General features: G+C 38.6%; 1 protein-coding gene across 3 annotated transcripts in view, besides 2 other annotated features; it reads left to right on the forward strand.

Moving 5' to 3' along the window:
• The window catches only part of POLR3B (RNA polymerase III subunit B), a 152,451-nt gene that overhangs the window by 35,663 nt on the left and 90,712 nt on the right, over positions 1 to 26,076 (forward strand). For all 3 annotated transcript variants that reach the window (NM_018082.6, XM_017019621.3, NM_001160708.2), the window contains exons 11-12: positions 12,447 to 12,566; positions 17,416 to 17,550. In NM_018082.6, coding sequence (NP_060552.4) covers positions 12,447 to 12,566; positions 17,416 to 17,550 — 255 coding nt within the window. The remainder of the gene's footprint in view (positions 1 to 12,446; positions 12,567 to 17,415; positions 17,551 to 26,076) is intronic.
• Positions 4,243 to 4,744: an enhancer, noted in NCBI's record as "H3K4me1 hESC enhancer chr12:106791431-106791932 (GRCh37/hg19 assembly coordinates)". NCBI's record gives its function as "activates a minimal SCP1, AML or CMV promoter by ChIP-STARR-seq in naive H9 embryonic stem cells {active_cell/tissue: H9 hESC(naive)}" and the evidence as "EXISTENCE:reporter gene assay evidence [ECO:0000049][PMID:30033119]".
• Positions 4,745 to 5,244: an enhancer, noted in NCBI's record as "H3K4me1 hESC enhancer chr12:106791933-106792432 (GRCh37/hg19 assembly coordinates)". NCBI's record gives its function as "activates a minimal SCP1, AML or CMV promoter by ChIP-STARR-seq in naive H9 embryonic stem cells {active_cell/tissue: H9 hESC(naive)}" and the evidence as "EXISTENCE:reporter gene assay evidence [ECO:0000049][PMID:30033119]".

Consider the following 26,076-nt stretch of genomic DNA (forward strand, 5'->3'; position numbering starts at 1 on the left):
TAGGAAGTACTGTTTTTTTTTCCTTATTTGCCTGAGTGATAATATACTTTTTAAACTATGGCAACTCTCGTGTACAGGTTTTGTGTGTGTGTGTGTGTGTGTGTGTGTGTGTGTGTGTGTATGTGTGCATGCATTTCTCTTTAATATCTTTTTTTATTCCCTACTTCAGTTGCTTTAGGCATCCAGTTGTATGTGGTTTCTATTTCTTTTCCTGAATTCCCAGTGCTGCTTTGGACAGCAAGGAAAACCCAGGATCAGTCCCTTTTACTGCTGCAGAGCCTTCATTGACCTGCTCAGGCACTCCTGGTTGGACCCTGGGAATTTTAGGGCAAGACTCAAAGATGAAGACTGAGAAATACACACACACACACACACACACACACACACACACACACCCCATAGTAAAAATAATTGCACTTCCCTTCCCACATGGAGGGAGCCCCAGCAGCCATACTTAGGATTTTAGTCCCATATTTGCAAGTGCTTTCCTAAGTATAAATCAAAGTTAACATCCCTCATAGCCATCCTGGGAGGTGGGAATTCCCCACTATAGAATCACAACAGACAGTTCTTACCTATCCACGTGTACATTGTCTATTCTGTGGGTTATGTATGACATATGTAAACTCTGGGCTGCTTTTTTCTCTTCACCCAGGATGCTTGTAGAGAAAGCATTTCCCACTTATATCTGTTAGTGTGTATTCTGAAATCAAATCAGTATTGATATTTTTGTAGACTACACTAGATATTTAGGAAGATCGAAATAGGTCAGTATATATATATAATTCCAAAGCACAAATCAGTAAGGATTATTCTCATCACCGTCTTCCTCTTTTTCTACAGTTAATTAATAGTTGACTGCAGTTACAGGGCAGGCAGCACCAGGAAGGGTGGTTTGGATTTAGGAGATTCTATTTTTGGCCTTTATCAAAAATGAAATATTTGGTAGGCATGAATCTTTGTTGTACACTAAAGTTACATTGTCCAAGGGTTCCAAGAACATGAAGAGAAAACATTAAGAAATATCAAGGAGGCAGAAAATGTAGAATCTACCCTGCAAACAGGAATATTTGGTTCCATTTTGGGAGATACCCTATTCTTTAATGCTGTGTAGTGCCCTACAAGTTTACCTTAATGGTTCCTCAGTGGCTTCAGTGAAATCCGGTATGCAGTTTATTTCAAACATCATCATTGGGGTCAAATAACCCTAGCATTGTAAAGCTGTTTGAGCAGAGCCCAAACAGTAGGTTGGAAAATCATTCATTTATTTCTGTTAAATAGGTTCTGACAGAAAATGTCAGCTAACTAAATTAGATCAGATTAGTGAGAAGATGGCAGGAAAAGATGGAAGGAAGTTAACATAAGAAAGACAAATGTTCCTTTTCCTCGAAAGGGAAGTATAACTTTGACAGTGCTCGTACTCTGTGTGCAGGATTAAGGCACATATTAGCTATTGAAACTAATAAAAGGATATAGAGATGCAAATAACCCAAAATAGTTGGTATGTAGAACATATATTAACAGTTACGAAAACATGAATATTCTATGCTATTCAAAATGAAGATGTAGTAAGTACACTTTATATTAGTCTGTTCTCACATTGCTATAAAGAAACACCGAATCAGCCTGGACCACATGATAAGACCCCATCTCTACAAACAATAAAAATAAATTAGCCAGGCGTGGTGGCAGGCACCAGTGGTCTCAGCTGCTTGGGAGGCTGAGGCAGGAGGATCACTTGAGCCTGAGAGGTCAAGGCTGCAGTGACCCATGATTGTGCCACCCCAGCCTGTGTGACAGAGTAAGACCTTTCCTCAAAAAAAGAAATACCTGAGACTGGGTAATTTATAAAGAAAAGAGGTTTAATTGGCTCATGGTTTTGCAGCCTGTACAGGAACCAAAACCTGCTTCTGGGGAGGCCTCAAGAAGCTTCCAATCATGGCAGAAGGCAAAGGAGGGGGCAAGGTGTCTCATATAGTGGGAGTGAGAGCAAGAGAGCGTGAGGGAGGAGGGGGTGCCACACACTTTTAAACAACCAGATTGGGAAAACTCACTATCAGGAGGACAGCACCAAGGTGATGGTGCTAAATCAGACATGAGAAATCCATCCCCATGATCCAGCCACCACCCACCAGGCCCCACCTCCAACAATGGGCACTACAATTTGACGTGAGGTTTGGTAGGGACACAGATCCAAACCATATCACACTTTATTTTATATAATAGAACTTTGGAAGATGTGGCACTTTAATGGATTGCTTAAAACCTGTGGGGTTTTGTTTTTTTGGCCAGGCATGGTGGCTTATGCCTGTAATCCAGAGGCCGAGGTGGGTGGATCATTTGAGGTCAGGAGTTCAAGACCCAGCCTGGCCAACATGGTGAAACCCCGCCTCTACTAGAAATACAAAAATTAGCCGGGCGTGGTGGTGGGTGCCTGTAATCCCAGCTACTCGGGAGGCTGAATCAGGAGAATCGCTTGAACCCAGGAGGCGGAGGTTGCAGTGAGCCAAGATCGCGCCACTGCACTCCAGCCTGGGTGACAGAGTGAGACTCCGTTTTTTATGCCTCGCTTTGTAGTCTCTCTCACATTTCTTCTGTTCCCTGAAGCCTTCTTTCTGTGTTGGTCATGTATGTTTTACACCATCATTGTCTTGGGCTCTAGTATATAGAGAAGAAAGTACTAGCTGTAGCGGGGGATAGGAGGCACTAGGCATGTTATCTTGGCCTTTGCATCACAAGGGATACCCTGCTCACCTGTGTTCCTCTATTTCTCCCTCAAACAAGTGAAAAATTTTAGCCTTTTTCACAAGGAAACTAGAAGGCCAACATTTATTGAAGACAGCTTAGTTGGGGGAAAACTGAACTGCCTATCTACTCATGGTTCCTGCCAACTGACCTGCTTTCTTCAGTTACTTAGTTACTACTTACTACTAGGTCACTGCAGCAAGTGTTTTCAGGGTTTTAATTTATCTTAAACTTTAATGGCCTTTTAATGGGAAAGATTTAGATTTGAAGTCCAAATCTTATCATGGGGACAGAGTTTCATTCAATTCCAAACACTGTACTAATCACTGGGAGTCAAAGAAAAAGATGACGGAATTCCCACCAACCAAGTCTAGTAGGAAAAACATACATGTAAATAGATCATTAAAACATAATGTGATATGAACAAGAATTAAAATATGCAATCCTGAATGCATAAAGAATTAAAACTGCAGAGAAAGAGGAGTGGGGTTAGGAAAGCCTTCGGAGAGGAAGTGATACCTGATCTAGGTTTTGAAGCATGAAAAAGGAATTCCCCAAGCAGGTAATTGGACAGGAATTCCAAGTTAAAGAATCAAAGATCCCAGCCTTTTCTTCTGTTAAGCTGAAAGTCTTTTTTTTTTTAAGTTCATTCTTGGCCAGGCATAGTAGGTCACACCTGTTATACTGCCACTTTGGGAGGCCCAGGCAGGAAGATCATTTGAGGCCAAGAGTTGGAGACCAGCCTAGGCAACATAGTGAGACCCTGTTTCTACCAAAGGTTTTGTTGTTGTTGTTGTTGTTGTTGTCGTTGTTTTAATTAGCTGGGCATGGTGGCGTGTGCCTGTAGTTCTGCTACTTGGGAGGCTGAGTGAGGTGGGAGGATTGCCTGAGCCTAGGAGATTGAGGCTGCAGTGAGCTGACATCACACCACTGTACTCCAGCCTGGGCAACAGAGTGAGACCCTGTCTCAAAAAAAAAAAAAAGCACATTGTTGTTCCAAAATAATAAGAACCACATATGCCTCTTCTTTAAACATTGTTGATTAGGAAAAATTTCAACATATACAAAGTACAGAGAATAGTGTTATAAATGCTCATGTATCCAAGGCCTACCTTCAAAAGTTGTCAACACTCTTACTTGGTTATTTTAAGTAAATTTATGTACACTAAAATGTACAAATCTTAATTGTATGACTTTACAAGATATAGAATATTTCCTTATCCCACAGAGTTCCCCCTCATGCCCCTTCCTAGTCAATCTTTACCTCTACTCTCTGATTTTTTTCCCCACTATTCTGATTTTTGCACCGTAGATTAGTTTTGCCAATTACAGAACTTTATATATGGAATTAGGCATCATAGTTTAGTGATTTTTGCACCATAGATTAGTTTTACCTATTTTACAGCATTGTGTATGGAATTAGGCCATATATACTCTTTTGTGTCTAGCTTTTGCTGAGCTTATTGTCTAAGATTCATCCAAGTTATTTCTTTTCATTCCTTTTTATGTCAGTTATCCATGTAGTTCATTTCTTTTTATTGCTGAGTAGTATTTCGTTATATGAATATACCACAGTTTATCCTATTGATAGACACTTGGTGTTTCAGTCTTTAGTAATTATAAATAAGACTGTATAAGCAAATCTTTGTGTGGATGTGTGGACATTTTCATTTCTCATGAATGTGTACCTAAGAATAGAATTGCTGTTAAGGAGCCAAGATGGCCAAATAGGAACAGCTCCGGTCTACAGCTACCAGCGTGAACGACGCACTAAGACGGGTGATTTCTGCCTTTCCAACTGAGATACCGGGTTCATCTCACTGGGGTGTGCCAGACAGTGGGTGCAGCGCACCGTGCGTGAGCCAAAGCAGGGCGACGCATCACCTCACCCAGGAAGCACAAGGGGTCAGGGAATTCCCTTTCCTAGTCAAAGAAAGGGGTGACAGACGGCACCTGGAAAATCGGGTCACTCCCACCCTAATACTGCACTTTCCCAACGGGCTTAAGAAACGGCACACCAGGAGATTATATCCCGCACATGACTCGGAGGGTCCTATGCCCACGGAGTCTCGCTCATTGCTAGCACAGCAGTCTGAGATCAAACTGCAAGGCGGCAGCGAGGCTGGGGGAGGGGCGCCCACCATTGCCGAGACTTGATTAGGTAAACAAAGCGGCTGGGAAGCTCGAACTGGGTGGAGCCCACCACAGCTCAAGGAGGCCTGCCTGCCTCTGTAGGCTCCACCTCTGGGGGCAGGGCACAGACAAACAAAAAGACAGCAGTAACCTCTGCAGACTTAAATGTCCCTCTCTGACAGCTTTGAAGAGAGTAGTGGTTCTCCCAGCATGCAGCTTGAGATCTGAGAATGGGCAGACTGCCTCCTCAAGTGGTTCCCTGACCCCCGAATAGCCTAACTGGGAGGCACCCCCCAGTAGGGGCGGACTGACACCTCACACGGCCAGGTACTCCTCTGAGACAAAACTTCCAGAGGAACGATCAGGCAGCAGCATTTGCGGTTCACCAGTACCTGCTGTTCTGCAGCCACCATTGCTGACACCCAGGCAAACAGGGTCTGGAGTGGACCTCTAGCAAACTCCAACAGACCTGCAGCTGAGGGTACTGTCTGTTAGAAGGAAAACTAACAAACAGGAAGGACATCCACATCAAAAACCCATCTGTACGTCACCATCATCAAAGACCAAAGGTAGATGAAACCACAAAGATGGGGAAAAAACAGAGCAGAAAAACTGGAAACTCTAAAAATCACAGCACCTCTCCTCCTCCAAAGGAACGCAGCTCCTCACCAGCAACAGAACAAAGCTGAACGGAGAATGACTTTGACGAGTTGAGAAAAGAAGGCTTCACACGATCAAACTACTCCAAGCTGCAGGAGGAAGTTCGAACCAATGGCAAAGAAGTTAAAAACTGAAAAAAAATTAAATGAATGGCTAACTAGAATAACCAATGCAGAGAAGTCCTTAAAGGACCTGATGGACCTGAAAACCAAGGCACGAGAACTATGTGACGAATGCAGAAGCCTCAGTAGCCGATGCAACTGGAAGAAAGGCTATCAGTGATGGAAGACGAAATGAATGAAATAAAGCAAGAAGAGAAGTTTAGAGAAAAAAGAATGAAAAGAAACGAACAAAGCCTCCAAGAAATATGGGACTATATGAAAAGACCAAATGTAGGTCTGATTGGTGTACCTGAAAGTGACAGGGAGAATGGAACCAAGTTGGAAAACACTCTGCAGGATATTATCCAGGAGAACTTCCCCAATCTAGCAAGGCAGGCCAACATTCAAATTCAGGAAATACAGAGAATGCCACAAAGATACTCCTTGAGAAGAGCAACTCCAAGACGCATAATTGTCAGATTCACCAAAGTTGAAATGAAAGAAAAAATGTTAAGGGCAGCCAGGGAGAAAGATCGGGTTACCCACAAAGGGAAGCCCATCAGACTAACAGCGGATCTCTCAGCAGAAACTCTACAAGCCAGAAGAGAGTGGGGGCCAATATTCAACATTCTCAAAGAAAAGAATTTTCAACCCAGAATTTCATATCCAGCCAAACTAAGCTTCATAAGTGAAGGAGAAATAAAATACTTTACAGACAAGCAAATGCTGAGAGACTTTGTCACCACCAGGCCTGCCCTAAAAGAGCTCCTGAAGGAAGCACTAAACTTGGAAAGGAACAACCGGTAACTGGTACCAGCCACTACAAAAACATGCCAAATTGTAAAGACTGTCAAGGCTAGGAAGAAACTGCATCAACTAACAAGCAAAATAGCCAGCTGACATCATAATGACAGATCAAATTCACACATAACGATATTAACTTTGAATGTAAATGGGCTAAATGCTCCAATTAAAAGACACAGACTGGCAAATTGGATAAAGAGTCAAGACCCATCAGTGTGCTGTATTCAGGAAACCCATCTAAGGTGCAGAGACACACATAGGCTCAAAATAAAGGGATGGAGGAAGATCTGCCAAGCAAATGGAAAACAGAAAAAGGCAGGGGTTGCAATCCTAGTCTCTGATAAAACAGACTTTAAACCAACAAAGATCAAAAGAGACAAAGAAGGCCATTACATAATGGTAAAGGGATCAATTCAACAAGAAGAGCTAACTATCCTAAATATATATGCACCCAATATAGGAGCACCCAGATTCATAAAGCAAGTCCTTAGTGACCTAGAAAGAGACTTAGACTCCCACACAATAATAATGGGAGACTTTAACACCCCACTGTCAACATTAGACAGATCAACGAGACTGAAAGTTAACCAGGAATTGAACTCGACTCTGCACCAAGTGGACCTAATAGACATCTACAGAACTCTCCACCCCAAATCAACAGAATATACATTCTTTTCAGCACCACACCACACCTATTCCAAAATTGACCACATAGTTGGAAGTAAAGCACTCTTCAGCAAATGTAAAAGAACAGAAATTATAACAAACTGTCTCTCAGACCACAGTGGAATCAAACTAGAACTCAGGATTAAGAAACTCACTCAAAACCGCTCAACTACATGGAAACTGAACAACCTGCTCCTGAATGACTACTGGGTACATAATGAAATGAAGGCAGAAATAAAGATGGTCTTTGAAACCAATGAGAACAAAGACACAACATACCAGAATCTCTGGGACACATTCAAAGCAGTGTGTAGAGGGAAATTTATAGCACTAAATGCCCACTAGAGAAAGCAGGAAAGATCTAAAATTGACACCCTAACATCACAATTAAAAGAACTAGAAAAGCAAGAGCAAACACATTCAAAATCTAGCAGAAGGCAAGATATAACTAATATCAGAGCAGAACTGAAGGAAATAGAGACACAAAAAACCCTTCAAAAACTCAATGAATCCAGCAGCTGGTTTTTTGAAAAGATTAACAAAATTGATAGACTGCTAGCAAGACTAATAAAGAATAAAAGAGAAGAATCAAATAGACGCAATAAAAAGTGATAAAGGGGATATCACCAGCGATCCCACAGAAATACAAACTACCATCAGAGAATACTATAAACATGTCTATGCAAATAAACTAGAAAATCTAGAAGAAATGGATAAACTCCTCGATACATACATCCTCCCAAGACTAAACCAGGAAAAAGTTGAATCTCTGAATAGACCAATAACAGGCTCTGAAATTGAGGCAATAATCAATAGCTTACCAACTAAAAAAAGTCCAGGACCAGATGGATTCTACCAGAGGTACAAGGAGGAGCTGGTACCATTCCTTCTGAAACTGTTCCAATCAATAGAAAAAGAGGGAATCCTCCCTAACTCATTTTATGAGGCCAGCATCATCCTGATACCAAAGCCTGGCAGAGCCAAAACAAAAAAAGAGAATTTTAGACCAATATCCTTGATGAACATTGATGCAAAAATCCTCATTAAAATACTGGCAAACCGAATCCAGCAGCACATCAAAAAGCTTATCCACCATGATCAAGTGGACTTCATCCCTGGGATGCAAGGCTGGTTCAACATACACAAATCAATAAATGTAATCCAGCATATAAACAGAACCAACGACAAAAACCACATGATTATCTCAATAGATGCGGAAAAGGCCTTTGACAAAATTCAACAACCTTCATGCTAAAAACTCTCAATAAATTAGGTATTGATGGGACATATCTCAAAATAATAAGAGCTATCTATGACAAACCCACAGCCAATATCATACTGAATGGGCAAAAACTGGAAGCATTCCCTTTGAAAACTGGCACAGGACAGGGATGCCCTCTCTCACCACTCCTATTCAACATAGTGTTGGAAGTTCTGGCCAGGGCAATCAGGCAGTTGAAGGAAATAAAGAGTATTCAATTAGGAAAAGAGGAAGTCAAATTGTCCCTGTTTGCAGATGACATGATTGTATATCTAGAAAACCCCATCGTCTCAGCCCAAAATCTCCTTAAGCTGATAAGCAACTTCAGCAAAGTCTCAGGATACAAAATCAATGTGCAAAAATCACAAGCATTCTTATACACCAATAACAGACAAACAGAGCCAAATCATGAGTGAACTCCCATTCACAATTGCTTCAAAGAGAATAAAATACCTAGGAATCCAACTTACAAGGGATGTGAAGGACCTCTTCAAGGAGAACTACAAACCACTGCTCAATGAAATAAAAGAGGATACAAACAAATGGAAGAACATTTCATGCTCATGGGTAGGAAGAATCAATATCGTGAAAATGGCCATACTGCCCAAGGTAATTTATAGATTCAATGCCATCCCCATCAAGCTACCAGTGACTTTCTTCACAGAATTGGAAAAAACTACTTTAAAGTTCATATGGAACCAAAAAAGAGCCCGCATCGCCAAGTCAATTCTAAGCCCAAAGAACAAAGCTGGAGGCATCACGCTACCTGACTTCAAACTACCACAAGTCTACAGTAACCAAAACAGCATGGTACTGGTACCAAAACAGAAATATCGACCAATGGAACAGAACAGAGCCCTCAGAAATAATGCCACATATCTACAACTATCTGATCTTTGACAAACCTGACAAAAACAAGAAATGGGGAAAGGATTCCCTATTTAATAAACGGTGCTGGGAAAACTGGCTAGCCATACGTAGAAAGCTGAAACTGGATCCCTTCCTTACACCTTATACAAAAATTAATTCCAGATGGATTAAAGACTTACATGTTAGACCTAAAACCATAAAAACCCTAGAAGAAAACCTAGGCAATACCATTCAGGACATAGGCATGGGCAGGGACTTCATGTCTAAAACACCAAAAGCAATGGCAACAACAGCCAAAATTGACAAATGGGATCTAATTAAACTAAAGAGCTTCTGCACAGCAAAAGAAACTACCATCAGAGTGAACAGGCAACCTACAGAATGGGAGAAAATTTTTGCAACCTACTCATCTGACAAAGGGCTAATATCCAGAATCTACAATGAACTCAAACAAATTTACAAGAAAAAAACAAACAACCCCATCAAAAAGTGGGCAAAGGATATGAACCGACACTTCTCAAAAGAAGACATTTATGCAGCCAAAAGACACATGAAAAAATGCTCATCATCACTGGCCATCAGAGAAATGCAAATCAAAACCACAATGAGATACCATCTCACACCAGTTAGAATGGTGATCATTAAAAAGTCAGGAAACAACAGGTGCTGGAGAGGATGTGGAGAAATAGGAACACTTTTACACTGTTGGTGGGACTGTAAACTAGTTCAACCATTGTGGAAGTCAGTGTGGCGATTCCTCAGGGATCTAGAACTAGAAATACCATTTGACCCAGCCATCCCATTACTGGGTATATACCCAAAGGATTATAAATCATGCTGCTATAAAGACACATGCACATGTATGTTTACTGCGGCACTATTCACAATAGCAAAGACTTAGAATCAACCCAAATGTCCAACAACAATAGACTGGATTAAGAAAATGTGGCACATATACACCATGGAATACTATGCAGCCATAAAAAATGATGAATTCATGTCCTTTGTAGGGACATGGATGAAGCTGGAGACCATCATTCTCAGCAAACTATCGCAAGGACAAAAAACCAAACACCACATGTTCTCACTCATAGGTGGGAATTGAACAATGAGAACACATGGACACGGGGTGGGGAACATCACACACCGGGGACTGTTGTGGGGTGGGGGGAGGGGGGAGGGATAGCATTGGGAGGTAATACCTAATGCTAAATGACGAGTTAATGGGTGCAGCACACCAACATGGCACATGTATACATATGTAACAAACCTGCACATTGTGCACATGTACCCTAAAACTTAAAGTGTAATAATAATAAAATTTTAAAAAAAAGAATTGTTGAATCAGAGAGCAGATATGTATATAATTTTTATATATACCTTGTTCCAAAATGATTGTACCATTTTGCATTTACACCAGCTGTGTATGAGAGTTGTTTTTTGTTTTTTTTTTTTTTTGAGACAGAGCCTCACTCTGTCACCCAGGCTGGAGTACAGTGGCATGATCTCCGCTCACTGCAATCTCCCTTTCCTGGGTTCAAGCAATTCTCCTGCCTCAGCCTCCCAAGTAGCTGGGACTACAGGTGTGCACCACGATGCCCGGCTAATCTTTTTGTATTTTTAGTAGAGACGGAGTTTCGCCATGTTGGCCAGGCTAGTCTTGAACTCCTTACTTCAGGTGATCTGCCCGCCTCGGCCTCCCAAAGTGGCAGGATTACAGGCATGAGCCACCACACCCAGCCTGATAGAAAGTTCAGGTTGCTTCATGTCCTCATAATATCTGGTGTTGTTAGTCTTTTTAATTTTAGCCACTCTAATGGGTGTATAGTGGTATCTCATGGTTTTAGTTTTTATTTTTATGGTAACAAATGATGTTGAGCCCTTATGTGTTTATTGGCTATTTGTATTTTCTTCTCTGTGAAGTGTGAGCCAAATGTTCATTTTTCTTAGTGAATTGTCTTTTTATTATTGACTTTAAGAGTCCTTTTAAAAACAAATCCTGGATGTAACTTCCTTGTCAGCATTATGTATTTTCTCCCAGTCCATTAACTCCCTATTTGTTTTCTTAATTCTTTTAATTTTGAAAAAACTTAGGAGGATTTTTTTATTTGTTTAGCTTTTATATTTATTGCTCTCTGTGTTCTGTTTAAAGAAATCTTGCCTACCCCAAGGTCAGAAATATATTCTTCAAAGTTTTCTTCTTGAAACTTTATAGTTTTTATGGTTAGGTCTAAAATCCATCTTAAACTAATTTTTATATTTGTTTTGAGGTAGGGGTCAAGATTAATTTTTTAGTTTATGGATAGTTGTTTCAACACCATTTGTTGAGAAGATTTTTCCTTCCTCATTGAATTGCTATGATACTTTCATCAAAAGTCAACTGACCATTTAGTATGTGTTTATTTCTGGACTTTTTATTCTCTTTCATTGATTTATTTGTCTATCCTTGTGCCAGTATCACACTGTTTTGATTACTTAGGTTTAGAGTTAAAAATCAGGTAATATAATACTCCAACTTTTTTCTTTCAATCCTGTTTTCGCTACTCCAGGTCCTTTGCATTTCCATGTAAATTTTAGAATCTAGAATTTTAGAATTAGTCAGTTTTTGCTTTTTAAGCCTGCTAAGCGTATAATGAACAGTTATGAATGTATTGGTCAGTTTGGAGAGAATTTTAACATTAAACCACTTTTAATACCATTGAATCATCCAGTCCACGAACATGTCATGACCCTTAATTTATTTAGGTTTTGTTTTCTGTCAGCACTGTTTTGTAGCTTTCAATGTAGGGGTCTTACATGGTATGATTCATTTTTGAGAGGAAAAAAGTACTACTATAAAATTTACCTGTGGTTTTCTCTGGGTGAAGGACTGATGGCTGCTATATGTCTACACACACACACACACACACACACACACACACACACACACAAATATATTTTACTTGTGTCTGTATTTTCTAAATTTCCTACAATGACAATGTATCATTTTTTTTAGTAAGAGAAAAAAGGGAACCAGTGTGTTAGGCAGTATGCTATGCTTTTTGTCATTGATTTATGATAAACGTTGATTTTCAACTAGACCCAGTACAGCTTTCTCTATAACCAGGGTCTTTATCTCTTTCGCTCATACTGTACATGTGGTTAGGTGCTTGCTAAACTACCTCCAGTGATGTCATTCAAACATTATTGTAATCTGTTTTTTATAGGCATTAAAATATATAGGGAACAAAGTAAGAAGGCAAAGGATGTGGGGAGGTGGACCAAAGAAAACCAAAATAGAAGAAGCAAGAGAGCTCCTGGCTTCCACCATTCTGACCCATGTCCCAGTGAGTAACACTTCGTTATTGTGAATAAGGACTGTGGGGTCTGTGAATTCCTGTTAGAGAACTGTGATAAGAGTTTACCTTATTTAAAGTCCAATTCCTCAAGAGAAAATTCTAAAGAGGACTGTACTGCCCCATCAGAAATAACCTTCCATTATCAGCAGTTTGTTTATACTCGGAGAATGTTAGCTGTATCGCCATCATCATGTTTATTCTCTTGTGGTTATTCTTTCAGTCTTAAATTATTGTTATTTTATATTCATACATACATTAGTACTGCTACTAGATTTCATGGTTTTGAAGGACAGAGATGGTGTCTTACATGTTTTATAAATAAATTAAAATAAGCTTACAGTGCCTTGCCCGTACATATTTTTTATTGTATGGTAAAATTGCTTATGTAAAATATGCTTATGCTTATTGTATAGTAAAATATGCTTAATGGTAAAATATGCGTAACATAAAGTTTACTGTTTTAAGTGTACAATTTTCTGGACTTAAGTACATTCACATTATTGTACAACCATCACCACAGCAGATAGTTTTAAAAATGTTTACTGGATGAGTTCATCTTCTAGACCTTGAATTTAAAGTTCACATTATCCAGCCTCCTTCACTTATTGTGAAGATTCTCTGATCCAAACATGCTAGATGATTTGCGTTGTCACCCAGCTGGTTAGTGGTAAGAGTAAGGGTTAGAACCTATCTTCTGGCCTTGAACTAGTATGTAATATTTATTTTTTATTAATTTATTATTAAACAGAGATCAACCATATTGGCATGTGGGGTGTTGGCAAGAGGCAGCCCTCAATTTTCTTCCCATTTAATGTATATGCTACTCTTACTAAGTTATGGAATTATTATTTGTTAGACTATCTTGTTAACTAAATAGTCTGGTTTGTAGTGAGTTATCATGTGTTCCATCCGTGAATAATCTTTTTCAAGGGTTGCAAACACTACCTTCAGGGGCTGACTGTAAAATAATGGAAGGTCACGGGATCTGTGGAAGTCGAGAGTAACCACCTGAATGCATCCAGATCCGATTTTCCTGTATTAAAACACCCTTCAATCCAAATAATACAGGTCTCTCATTCTGCCCCTTGGCTACCATTTGTGCATGTCCTTGATTTAATCCAAATAATTAGAAAATTCTGAATGTTAAAGCTGGGTCTCAACTGAATTTTAAGCTCTTTTGGATGATTGGAAGAGTCTGAAACTTAAAATAGCAAAAATGGATAGTAGAAACAACAAAGGCTTTTGAGCCTGAGACGTAATTGTTCAAATCCTGGTTTCTTACATCCTAACTGATGAACTTTGGGCAAATCTGAACTTTTCTAAGCTTCAGTTTTCTCATCTTTTTAATAAAAGTAATTCCACTTTCTTGCAGGGTTCTTGTGATGATTCGGAGATATAATATACGTAAAGCTCTGTATTTTCCACAGCTCCCCATGTAGTTCTCAGGAGCTACACTTACCTTCACACTATAACTGAGAAGAATGTTGGGTTAATTAAAGAGCTTTAGTTGATAGAGTCCTGCCGATATTAACATTTGTTTAGTTAGACTGATAAAGATAGGCCAGGCACAGTGGCTCACACCTGTAATTCCAGCACTTTGGGAGGCTGAGGCGGGCAGATCACCTGAGGTCAGGAGTTTGAGACCAGCCTGACCAATATGGAGAAACCCCATCTCTACTAAAAACACAAAATTAGCCAGGTGTGGTGGTGCATGCCTGTAATCCCAGCTACTTGGGAGGCTGAGGCAGGAGAATCGCTTGAAACTGGGAGGCGGAGGTAGCAGTGAGCCAAGATCACACCATTGCACTCCAGCCTGGGCAACAAGAGCAAAACTCCGACTCAAAAAAAAAAAATCATTTGTGCTTTTCTGTGGTTGCATGGAACCTAAATTACCATTTTAAAAGTTTGGTTATACATAATCCAGTGAGGAATAAAGTCAGAATAGATGGTTCAGGGAAAAGAACTTTGTTTTCCAGAATTGTTTTGGACAGTATTTACCTAAATGTGATATAAAGGATGATTTTCAGTGATACAGGGTCATTTTTTATGTAAGTAATTACATACTTATTAGAAGGAATACAACTAGCACATCAAATCCATTTTTGTGATATATGTGATTTTATGGTATTATTGCATAGGATGAAGCTTAGCTTAAAATTGGTTGTTTAAAGATGATTAGACGTATTACATAAATAAGTACTACAGAGATATGCTGATATTCGTGATGGTGGAACTTGAATGACTAGCATTTGGAAAGTATTGTTTAGGTGTGTCTGTGTAGAGGGAAAAACACGGGCAGATATTCAGTAGTTCTCAGTGCTTGTCCTTGAGGGTGGGCCTGCAGAGGCCTTTGTCTTGGTATACTGGCCTTTCAGTTCCTTGGAGACTGTGGTTCTCAAAGAACATTCCCTGGACTAGTAGCATCTGCATCACTAGGGGACTTGTAAGAAATACTTGAACTCTTCCTACTGAATCAGAAACCCTAGGGGTGGGTCCCGGTAATCTGTGTCTTAACAAGCCCTCCAGATGATTCTAGTGCATGCTAAAGTTTAGAAACCACTGCCATAAGAGTGGTTAGGCTCCAAGATGCCTAAGTCCCAGACCACTCTTTCCTCTAATGTAGTATTAAAAGATCTCCGGAGTTCTGAAATAGGCAACAATTCTGTGTCAGCATTCTGGGTTCGTTTGTTAGTCCTTTTTTCTCCCCCTCTTTCACATAATCCACAGGTTAGTATCCCACAAAGGAGTATCTGAACTACTCTTAGCTTTCTCCTAAAAAGTCTTACCTGCTGCTAGATTGAGAAGATCCCCACTCACCATATGACTCTGGGAACAGTCCTGGAAAAATATGCTAAGTATTAACTCATTTCAATTTAGACCTAGGGTTTGCTTTCCAGCATATAGTCATTAAAAAGGGGAGTGAAATGAGTTAGAGTTCAATCCCAAGGGGGTGATGGACTGTACCTCTAATCGAGTGGCATTATACAGTTCAGTAGGGGCATTTTCCGTAAATATCCATATTTATTTCTACTTATAAATGTCTTGGGAGAATCTACTACCAGTGTTTATGCAAAAGGAAAATGTGAAATGGGCTTTGTTGAAAATTGAAAATTTTGTTAGTGAAAGTTTGCTTTATTTTTCTCATTAACAAGAAAGATAACTACAACTAGAAGAGTTAGATGTTCCATGTAACTTGCCACATTAAGATTAGAACAATAAAATGTAAATTATATATACTTAAATGGAGGACCATACAGCTTTCGAAATACCAATTGAAAATGTAAATTACTTATAGCTGCCCAGACACTGAGTTTTTCTGCTTGGTTTTGTGGTAACTGGTGTTACGATTGTAAGAGGGTTTTTTTTGTTTTTTTTTTTTTTTTCTTGAGGATGGACAAGAGCCTTTTCTTTTTAAAGACCTTCTTATTGATGTAATTGTTTTGTGGGTACAAGATAACAAAGTAGCTTTTAGGGCTACTTTTTCTTTTACCACATTCAAACACATTTCTTTTAACACATTCCAGAGTTCTCAGTAATAGAGAGTAAATTGACCTAGAGAAGAAATAAAACTTCCTTTGAAGGAAAATGGAGTATTTGAAACACATACAGAATTCTAACATCCTACATTATTTAGTGAAATTACTTAGCAGCAACAACAAAATGTATGAAGGAGAATGCTTGCTTGTTTTTTTTTTTTTTGAATGCAGTCTATTGATTTATTGTCATAGTGATAAATTTTATAAAAGAGATTTCATTGGGATTTTACTAAATGATTAAGGTAAGTAAAGAAGAAATTTTAAAATAGTATGTATCATCTGTGGAAAAGCCTATAAATACTCCTTGGAATTGGCAGAAGCTCAGGCTACATTCTCAAAATTTGTCTTTTTAGATGTAGGATCTACTTCAGTTTTTTTGTCTCTCCAAACAAACCAGTGCAATTATTTTATCAGTTCTGAGTCAACTTACTATGATTGAGCCAGATTCATTCATATGGGTTTCAGTGTTTCTGCTAGAGAAGATTGACTAGAACATTTGCTACAAATTCATTCATCTGTTCATTCATTCGGCAGTTATTTGTTGCATGCCAGACAGCATGTTAGTACAATTCTTGTTATCACTGCATGACAAACAATTCTAAAACTTAGTGGCTTAATGTAACTGTTCATTGTGTATCTCATGATTCTGTGGTTTGACCGGGTTTAACTTAAGGTGGAGGAGGGAGTTCTCATTTCAGGTCTCTTACAAAGTTGCAGACAGATAGCAGCTGAGGTTTGAGTCATCTGGAAGCTCACCTGGGCTGGACATTCAAGATGGCATCTTCACTCATATCTCTGGCCCCTCCTTGATTTTCCATTTCATTGGGATTTTACTAAATGAAATGTAGCCTCTCTCTCTGTGCAACAGAGCGTTCTGGACTTTAGTGTCTCAGGACTCTAAGAGAAAGGAAGAGGAAACTGCCAGTTGACTTAAAGATTAATTCTGGAATTGGCTGGTATCATTTCAGCTGTATTCTCTTGGTTAAATTAATCATAGGCCAATCCCAAGGGAGTGATAGATTCCACCTTTAATGAAGGAATGGCATGAAGTTTATATGAAGGGAAGAAGTTGATGTAGTCATCTTTGACACAGAGGTACTCACAGGTTACTGAGGACAATGATGAAAAGTCATCATCTCAGCTCAGGAAATTTCCAGACTAGTTGAATTTATTTGAATGGAGAGAATCATAACAATTCAGTATTTTCTTAGTTGAATGTTATAGTATTGATACTTTTCTTGAGGTACGTTAAATTTTAATGTCCATTTTCTCAAAATTTTTCTCCAATTTCTGACTTACAGGTTAAGGAATTCAATTTCCGAGCCAAATGTATCTATACTGCAGTGATGGTGCGAAGAGTTATTCTGGCCCAAGGAGATAATAAAGTTGACGACAGAGATTATTATGGTAACAAGCGACTGGAATTGGCAGGACAGGTGATTTAATATTTTATGTCAGAAATCTTGTTTTCCTTAATGAAAATTAATTTGGTTTTCATTTCACATAAGAAGAAACATTTGAATGAAATATAGTTTGCAGGTTTGAAGTATAAACATTTCATACCTGACTTATTATCTCCTAGAATTCCTTTAACTATAAAAACATTAATTCTTTTTTTTTTGTTTTCTTTTGAGACGGAGTTTTGCTCTGGTTGCCCAGGCTGGAGTGCAATGGCACGATCTCAGCTCACTGCAACCTTGGCATCCTGGGTTCAAGCGATTCTCCTGCCTCAGCCTCCCGAGTAGCTGTGATTACAGGCATGTGCCACCGTGCCCGGCTAATTTTGTATTTTTGGTAGAGATGGGGTTTCTCCATGTTGGTCAGGCTGGTCTCCAACTCCCGACCTCAGGTGATCTGCCCATCTCAGCCTCCCAAAGTGCTGGGATTACAGGCGTGAGCCACCATGCCCAGCCTAATTCTTTAAATGTTAATAGTACGTGACCTATATCTTTTGTTGGGATGTTTACCCTCATTCTGTATAATATACAAAGTGAAGTATGACTTTAAGTAATATCATTTATTCAGTTAACAAACATTTACTAAACACCTATTATGTTCTAGGCATACTCCTAAGTACTAGTTATATAAGAGGGAGTAAGACAGACAAAAGCCCCTTTTCTCTTACTCCTTGTAGTCTCAGTGGAAGGGAGAGAGACAATAATCAAGGAAACAATCCGCTGATTGTTTTGGTGACATGGTAGAGGTAGGTTAGTGAGGATATCTCTAATCTCATTTTAAGTCTTAGCTGATAAATGACATTTTATTTCAAGACTGTGTATCTCTTTCAACTGGCTAGCAAGCATCCAAAAATCTTTGGCTAGCAAGTAACTAAAAAGCTCCAGTTAATTTTTTAGTTTAGATATTGTATTTTTCTGTTTTAGAAATTTCATTTAGGTATTTTTTCATAGCTTCTATTTCTCTACAGAGATTTTGTATTTGTTCATCCATCACAAGCCTATTTTTATTTACATCCTTGTATTTTAATAGCTACTTTAAAACCTTTGCTGCTAATTTCAACGTCTCAGTCACTTGTGGGTCATTCTCTTCATTAGCTTTTCTCTTGAATGTGGCTCATGTTTTTCTGTTTCTTCTTATGTCTGATAATTTTGGATTGCAACCTGATAGACATTGTGGATAAGTTGTGGAGGCTCTGAATTCTGCTGTATTCCTCTAAAGAGTGTCCCAGTTTTTTGTTTTTTTTTTAAGACCCTCTGAACTTGGCTGAAAACCTCTGAATCCTGCCTTCCTGCAGCAAACATCAGCTGAAATATTCATTTAGTTCTTTCAGTTGTAGCTTGGGTCAATTGGGGATTTAGATAGAGTTTAAATGTGGAATTTGGAATTTCCTCACTTACATTCTAGCTGTTGAGGTAGCTCAGATCTTTTTCTTTTGGTTCTTCAATCCAGTAAGACTGCAACTTACTTTCTCATGTTTTAGCCTTCTGATTTGACAGGGATCACTGCCTGCCCTTAGGTGAAAAGCCATAAAACAGGAAACTCACTCAGAACCATTTGCTTTTGATAAGCATTCCTTTTCCTCAGTTTCTTTCTGCTTCCTGATACTCTTTCAATGAATTTCAAGTAGTTGTTTTATCTAATATTTCATCCAGTTTATACAGTTGAGCCACATTATGCATATTTGCAAATTTGTCTACTTGCTAAAATGTATTTTCAACCTCCAAATCTGTACTCAGCGGCATTTTATTGGCCATTTGCAGGCATATGCAGAACTGCAAAAAATTTGAGTCACTACACATTCCTACTTGCAGTCTAACAAGGCAATGTTCTGCCTTCTTGTTTCAGCTCTCATACTGTAAACAAGTATCCTTTTTACTACTTTGATTTGCATTTCCCTAAAAACTGATTATGTTGAACATCTTTTTATGTGCCTATTGGTCATTTATACACCTTCTTTGAAGAAATGTCTATTCAAGTCCTTTGCCCATTTAAAAATTTTTTTTCTTGTTGTTGTTGAGTTGTAGGAGTTCTTGGTATATTCTGGATACATACATATATCAGATATATGATTTGCAATTATTTTCTCCCATTCTATAGGTTGTTTTTTCACTTTTTTGACAGTGTCTTTTGATGTACAACAGTTCTTAATTTTGAAAGAGTCCTATTTGTCTATTATTTTCTCCTGTTGCCAGTGCTTTTGGTGTCATATTCATGAATTATAACCAAATTCAGTGTCTTGATTTCCCCAATGTTTTCTTCTAAAAGTTTTATAGTTTTAGCTCTTAAGTTTAGGCCTTTAGAGTGAGAATTTTGTTAGATGTACAATTCTAGATTGATATTTATTATGTGTCACCATTTGGTGGTGGAGATATTTATTATCTCCCATCATTTACTAGTTTATTTGTTTGTTTTTATTTTTTTACTTTAGGCAAATATTTCACCTCCTTCTGCCTCAGGTTCCCTGTCTGTAAAAATGGGGTTCATGCCATGTACCTTATAGGATTGTTATGGGATTAGATGAATGATGTATACCGTACCTTGAATGGCACAGAACCATTGTAGTTCCTTCACAGGTGTTCTGTCTTATCTCTCTAGGTACTTTTAAGATATTCTTTTGGCTTTTGTTATTCTGCAGTTTTCTTTATGATATGCCTTGGTGTGAATTTCTTTTATTTTTTTTTTGCTTGGTATGTGCGTGTTCCTGCTACCCAAGGATTAATGTCTTTAATCAGTTCAGAAAAATTCTCAGCTATTATCTCTTCAAGTGTTGCCTATTCTCCCTTTTTTCTGTTCTCTTTTTTCTATTATCTTTGTTCCTTTACTGCATTCTGTGCGATTGTTTTTCTAATTTAGCTCTTAGTTCATTTTCTATTCAGCCATGTTCAGTAATTGAGTTTTTTGTTGTTTACTTTTATAGAAGTCTTTTTCACATATTTTTGGTAATTTATTGGTTTTGCATTTTATGATGAAAATTCTGAAACATTCAGAAGAGTTAGAAGAATGATTTTGTGGTCACTTTGATCATCTTATTTTGTGTGTTTTTTTTATTTCTTCATAGATTTACATAGCTTTTTTTAATTCCATATTTGATAACTGTATTTTAGCATCTAGAATCTAATATGCCATTAATTATCAGGTGGACCACTATTTTTATTTCCACTAAGAAATAAAACACATCACCAGTTAAATTATGACACAGTGCTAAGATGTATCCCATGTTCAGGATGGGATACAAAAGTAAAAAAAAAAAAAAAAAAAATTCCAATCAGTGAAATATAGTAATTCCAGTATCTAATGTTCTAAAGCTGCTGAGTTAGTTGTTTTTGATTACTCTTACTCAAGATAGATTGGTTCCTTGTGAGTTTAGTGATCTTTGTTTATGAACTCATATTTAATTGAGCTCTGATCCTGGGTGTTATTCTAGGGATACTTTCTTTTGGGGATATGTATTTTCTTTTTCAGGGAATAGTGCTGACCTGGAACTTCTAAGTCTTCTTACATGATTCTGAGGATTATGAGTTTCAAGTTCACATCCTTCATCTTGTCACTGAACTCTGATTTAGTCTCCAGGTCCCTAAGCTGATATCAGTATTTATTCTCAGGGCAACTCTGCCATTTGGGTTTGCTTATTGCTCCCTACTCCCTACCATGGCTTCACCTCATTTTTAATATGTTTTATCCAGAATCTAGTCATATTGTAGTAACCAGACTCCTCAGAGAATCCAACCCAGTATGCTGCAAGCAGCAGAGGTCCCTTCATTTTCACAGTAGACTTGAAGCTTCATGAGGACAGAGACTGTATCTTTCTTGTTCATCTTACTAAACTTAGCAACTAATAAGATGCCCCAGATATAATGTTCATCACATATTTGTTGTAGTAATGAATCAATTAATTACATGTTCTAAAATAGTTTACTTTAAAGCCCCCTTTGAATTCTGATATTCTTTCTTCATTTGCTGTCTTAATCAGTTAACAGTGCCATCTACCCATGCTGCTGAGCTACGAACCTCTATGTCACTCCAGACTCTTTCTGTTCCTTCACTCTACACATCAGGTTCATCAAATCATCAAATCCTGCCTGTGCCACTTCCTAAATATATCTCTAATTTACTTCCAGTGTAACTGTTAGAGCACAGGCCTTCAACTTCAGTGTAACCTCCTAACAAGTGTCTCTGTTCTTAGCTTCACCCCAACTCCATTCATCTTCCACAGTGCTAATAAAATTATTTCAACACACAAATATGATCTTCTCACTCTTGTACTTAGGCTATTTGAATGGCTCCCTCTGAAAGCAGTGAGGTCACTACAGTGAGATGTGATGTGGTTAATGGAAGATACCAAGTTAGGGAATGATGTGTCAGCCAAATCATCTTTTAGGAATTTAGAGTCTATGTTGTTGGTGACAATTCTACTTATGAGATCAGTCTTTGTGGTTGTCACAGAGGGATGATGGTATGGTTGATGGAAAGAGGATGCCAAGTTTCCTTAATAACTAAAGATATGGTAACTTAGGGATATGGGTGTATAAAGCACTAGCATGCTCCTAATTAGGGACACTACTTTCTGAGTCCCCTGGAATTTTCCCAGGAGATATGTATCTGTGAATGATACCACTGGCCTAGAATGAAATTTTGCAAAGCCCAAGACACTTCTTTTGTTATTCTGATGGTTATTCATTTATTTTACCAATTTAAACAAATATCTTTAATTTTTTTAAAAGTGTTATGATTTTTAAAAAGTAATGTTAGCAGTAAAAATAATAAATATTGTAAAATAGCAGAAGTCATTCTTAGTAAACATTTAAAAAAATAGCATAGCAAAAAGAATTTTAAACAAAAAGATTTGCAGTGAAAAGTGACCCACCTCTGACCCTCTTTTCCCTCTGACTCAGTTCCCCAGTTCTCCTTTCCAGAAAGTCACTTTTCCTATACTGTCCTCTATCCTTCCAGAGACACTCTATGCATATACAAATATCTTTATTAACTGGCAGTTTAAAGTTAAACCATTGGAAGCTCTTGCCCTGAAAACTATTCAGGACTCTGTGAATTTATGCTTAGTGGGGCTTCCTTGGGGATCATTGTCACAGGCAAGTTTGGAGTCAGGTTTTGCAAGTTCAGAAGAAGTTATATAAAGGTGTGGTTTGCTGTCATTAGTTTGAAACAGATTTTCAAAGCAGTTATGTCCGAGAATGTTATTTGACCATTACTGCCAAGCCCTTTGACTTAAGGGGGAATTTAATCAGTTAAATGTGTCTGTTGCTGCAGAAATTGACATATACCTGTTTGTGTATGTGCTTTTTAGTTATGAGAAATTGCATACACACCACTATATATAATGTGTGTGCATTAAGTCTCATAAAGCAAATACTTGTATATTCCCATTCAGTTTAAGAATGAACACAGCGTCAGTACATTTGAATCCTCCATGTGCCTTCTCTTGTTCTTGGCTGCCCCTCCCATCTGTCTGGAGGCTCTGGCCATGTGCCTGCCTATTCACTTGGTACAAAGCAATCCCAACACATTCCTGAGCATTCTCTGTGTGATTAAGTGAAGCACAGGTCCTTTTCCCAGGAGCATCCGCAGCAGACCTGAGCTTCAGATGTAGGTTTCAAAGTTTTTAAAGCATGAACTCTCAGTTGGAATCCCAATATTAAAACAGATAAAAGTTGAGCCTTTCTGGTTGAGGTGGGACAGAGGGGTTCTCTGCCTCCTTCCCCTTCCCCTGAAACTCCTCCATGGAATTCATAAGCACAGTTTCCTCTGTAGAAGGATGTTTAGATTCTTTCACAGAGCCTGCAGGGTCCTTGATGATCGTGCCCCTCTGTGCCTTTCCGGCCTCATCTCATGCCAAAGTGAGGCACTTACATCTTCTCAAACATACCATAATGCTCTTCTATCACTATTCCTTTGAGTTATGCCTTCTACCGAAGCTGCCCCTCCCTCATATCCCTTTCACCCTCTCTCTAAAGAGGAGCTCCTCCTTATTCATCTTTTGAGCCCTCTCTGAAACTGTGACCTCCTAGGTGCAGTTAGTTGCTCTGTCTTCCTTAGGCCAGTAACAGTTTATTCAAGTCTTTATTTGCATGCTAAATTAACATGTAATTCTTTACTTCCATGCTTCTTCCCCCTTTTAGATTGTAAGCTCATTGAGGAAAGGAACCATTTATATTCATCTCGTTATTTCCACATATGTGCAGGCCGATATTTGAATAAGGAGAAGTTGCTCTCATGCAGCCTTGCAAACTGCATTCCAGCAAGAGACACAACCAAGTTCACATCTCCTAAGGCACGAATGAATTTAGGGACTGGAGGAACTGATAGAGGGTCAGTGTGGCTGGAGTGAGTGAGGTGTCAGGATGGTAAGAAATGACACTGGAGACCCAGGTGGAGGCTGGATCATCTGGAGCCCTGTGTGCCATGGGAAGAGACTTGGCATTCTACATGCAGCAGAAGACCATTGAAGAGTTTTAGTCAGGGGAGTGACATGATCTGATTTTTAGTTTAGAAAGATCTGATGTGGAGATGAACAGGCGAAGAGTGGACCGGCTAGAAGCTGTAGCAGTTTTCTAGATGAGAGATAGTGCGGCTGGGATGATCACAGCAGATAGTACCACAACTAAAATTTAAAAACTAGAATTATGAAATTATAGTAACTTTAGGTTCTAGAAAAAAAAATTAGCATCAGGACTACTGAGGAAGCTCTGTTTGGTTAATGGCCACTACTTAGCAGTTTGGTTTTTGGCCACCTTCAGATTGACCATTGTGCAAGGAATTATGGGTATCCTCACCATCAATCCCATTTTTACTATTTTTTACTTCGGAAAAACCATGGTGTTAAATGAGTCCATTAAAAAAAAGTTGATTGTTTAGAGGAATAAGGAATGGAGTAAGGAGGGGGAAAGGAGAGCTGATCCTGTTGCTTAAAAAATTAGAATTAAAAAGAGGGTTCCCATGTGCAAGAAAACATAGCTTTATAAACAATGTAAAGACATAAAAGGTATTGTGTTAGCAAAAATGTGTAAAAACAATAGCTGCTAATTTCACACCCCATGGGATGAGGGAGCATAAATGTGCTTCAGCTTTAGATAACAGAGTTGTCTCCACTGGCCAAGCGGGTTCACAGAGCTTTCCTTCAGTCTTGATGCCACAAGAGGGTTGGCAGGCCAGCCGCCAGTAGAGGTGTTAGCAAAACCTACCGATTTCAGGCTTAATCTTTCACCTACCTTTTCTTTTTCGGTAATGTGTTCATTATTTGCTGAGCATTACTCTATTCTTTGTCTGCAAATTTTTTGTTTCTAATGCAGCTTGCTTTGTATGGGTGAGATATGGAATGGCACCAAAATCCGGCACCCTGGAAAGCCAGGGATTTCTACCCTATGACAAAAGAATGCCGTCTTGACTTCAGAGATTGCCTAATCCCAGCTGTTCTGATAATGTAATTAAGGCTGCCTAATGTCTTTAATTTTGCAACCAGTTTGTGTGAAAAGGAGAATTTGGCACTCTGTAGGCTTAAACACTAAATAGCAATCTCAAGACGCCTAATTAGAATTCTCTGACATTAAGCTAATTGGTGAAACTGTATTTCAGCAGCTTAACTTCTTTATTAATTTTTTTAGCATTTTCATTGAAAATCAATTGATGAGCTGTCAGCATTTTTCCCTGAAATATGATTTGCTCTTTACTCTCCTGTCTTAAACAGGCTGAAAGGCCTTGTGCTACCAAGGTATTGAATATTATCACCAGCATTCCTTCCCTTTTAGTCATTTTACTTTTGACCTAAATAATGTGGTGTATTGTGTGGATGGCCTTGTGGTTTCTCACTGCTCTGTGAACTTGGACAGCATTTTTTCTTTTAAACTGAAATTTTAGGAGTAGGAAAATTTAATAATGAGGCAGTATTTCTGTTGACTGTGTTCTTACTTTTTACTTCTTTAGTACCAAGGACATTTCCTTGTGTTTGAATCAAGGGGCTACAATAAATTCAGCTGGGATCCAAAAAAACTTTGTCATAATTTGAGACAAAAGTGTCTAAGTGTAAGGGACTAATTAAAATAGAGCTGAGCTTTTGTTGTTTAGGTTAAGGGCATTCGATTCTGTTCAGGATGCTTATTCAAGTTCCTTTTGCCAGTTTCCACAGGAAGTTGCTGGAATAGGCTTCTTCATCCCCTCTCACCCCTCTGCACCTGCTTCCATTCCCATATTCTTTCTTTCCAAGAGTGAAACTGCTGGGTCTCACTGTAAGAAAGGATTAAGCTCTCAGAGGAGGAAGTTTTCTTTTTAGAACACTTCTGACATAGTAAATTCAAATCCAAGATCCAGGCTTTTCTATCTGAAAAGGTGGTTTTAGTAGAAAAGTGGAAGGACATGTCTTAACTTTAAAGAAGGAAAAGCATGAAATCCAGTTCCACTTAGGAAATTCCTTCTTTGGCACTAGCTAGAGGAGAAGATTCATTTGCTTTGAATACCTTCTTCATTCTGAGTCAAAAAACTACCTATCAGAAACA

The sequence above is a fragment of the Homo sapiens genome, chromosome 12 (assembly GCF_000001405.40).
Source record: "Homo sapiens chromosome 12, GRCh38.p14 Primary Assembly".
Classification (NCBI taxonomy): Eukaryota; Metazoa; Chordata; class Mammalia; order Primates; family Hominidae; genus Homo; species Homo sapiens.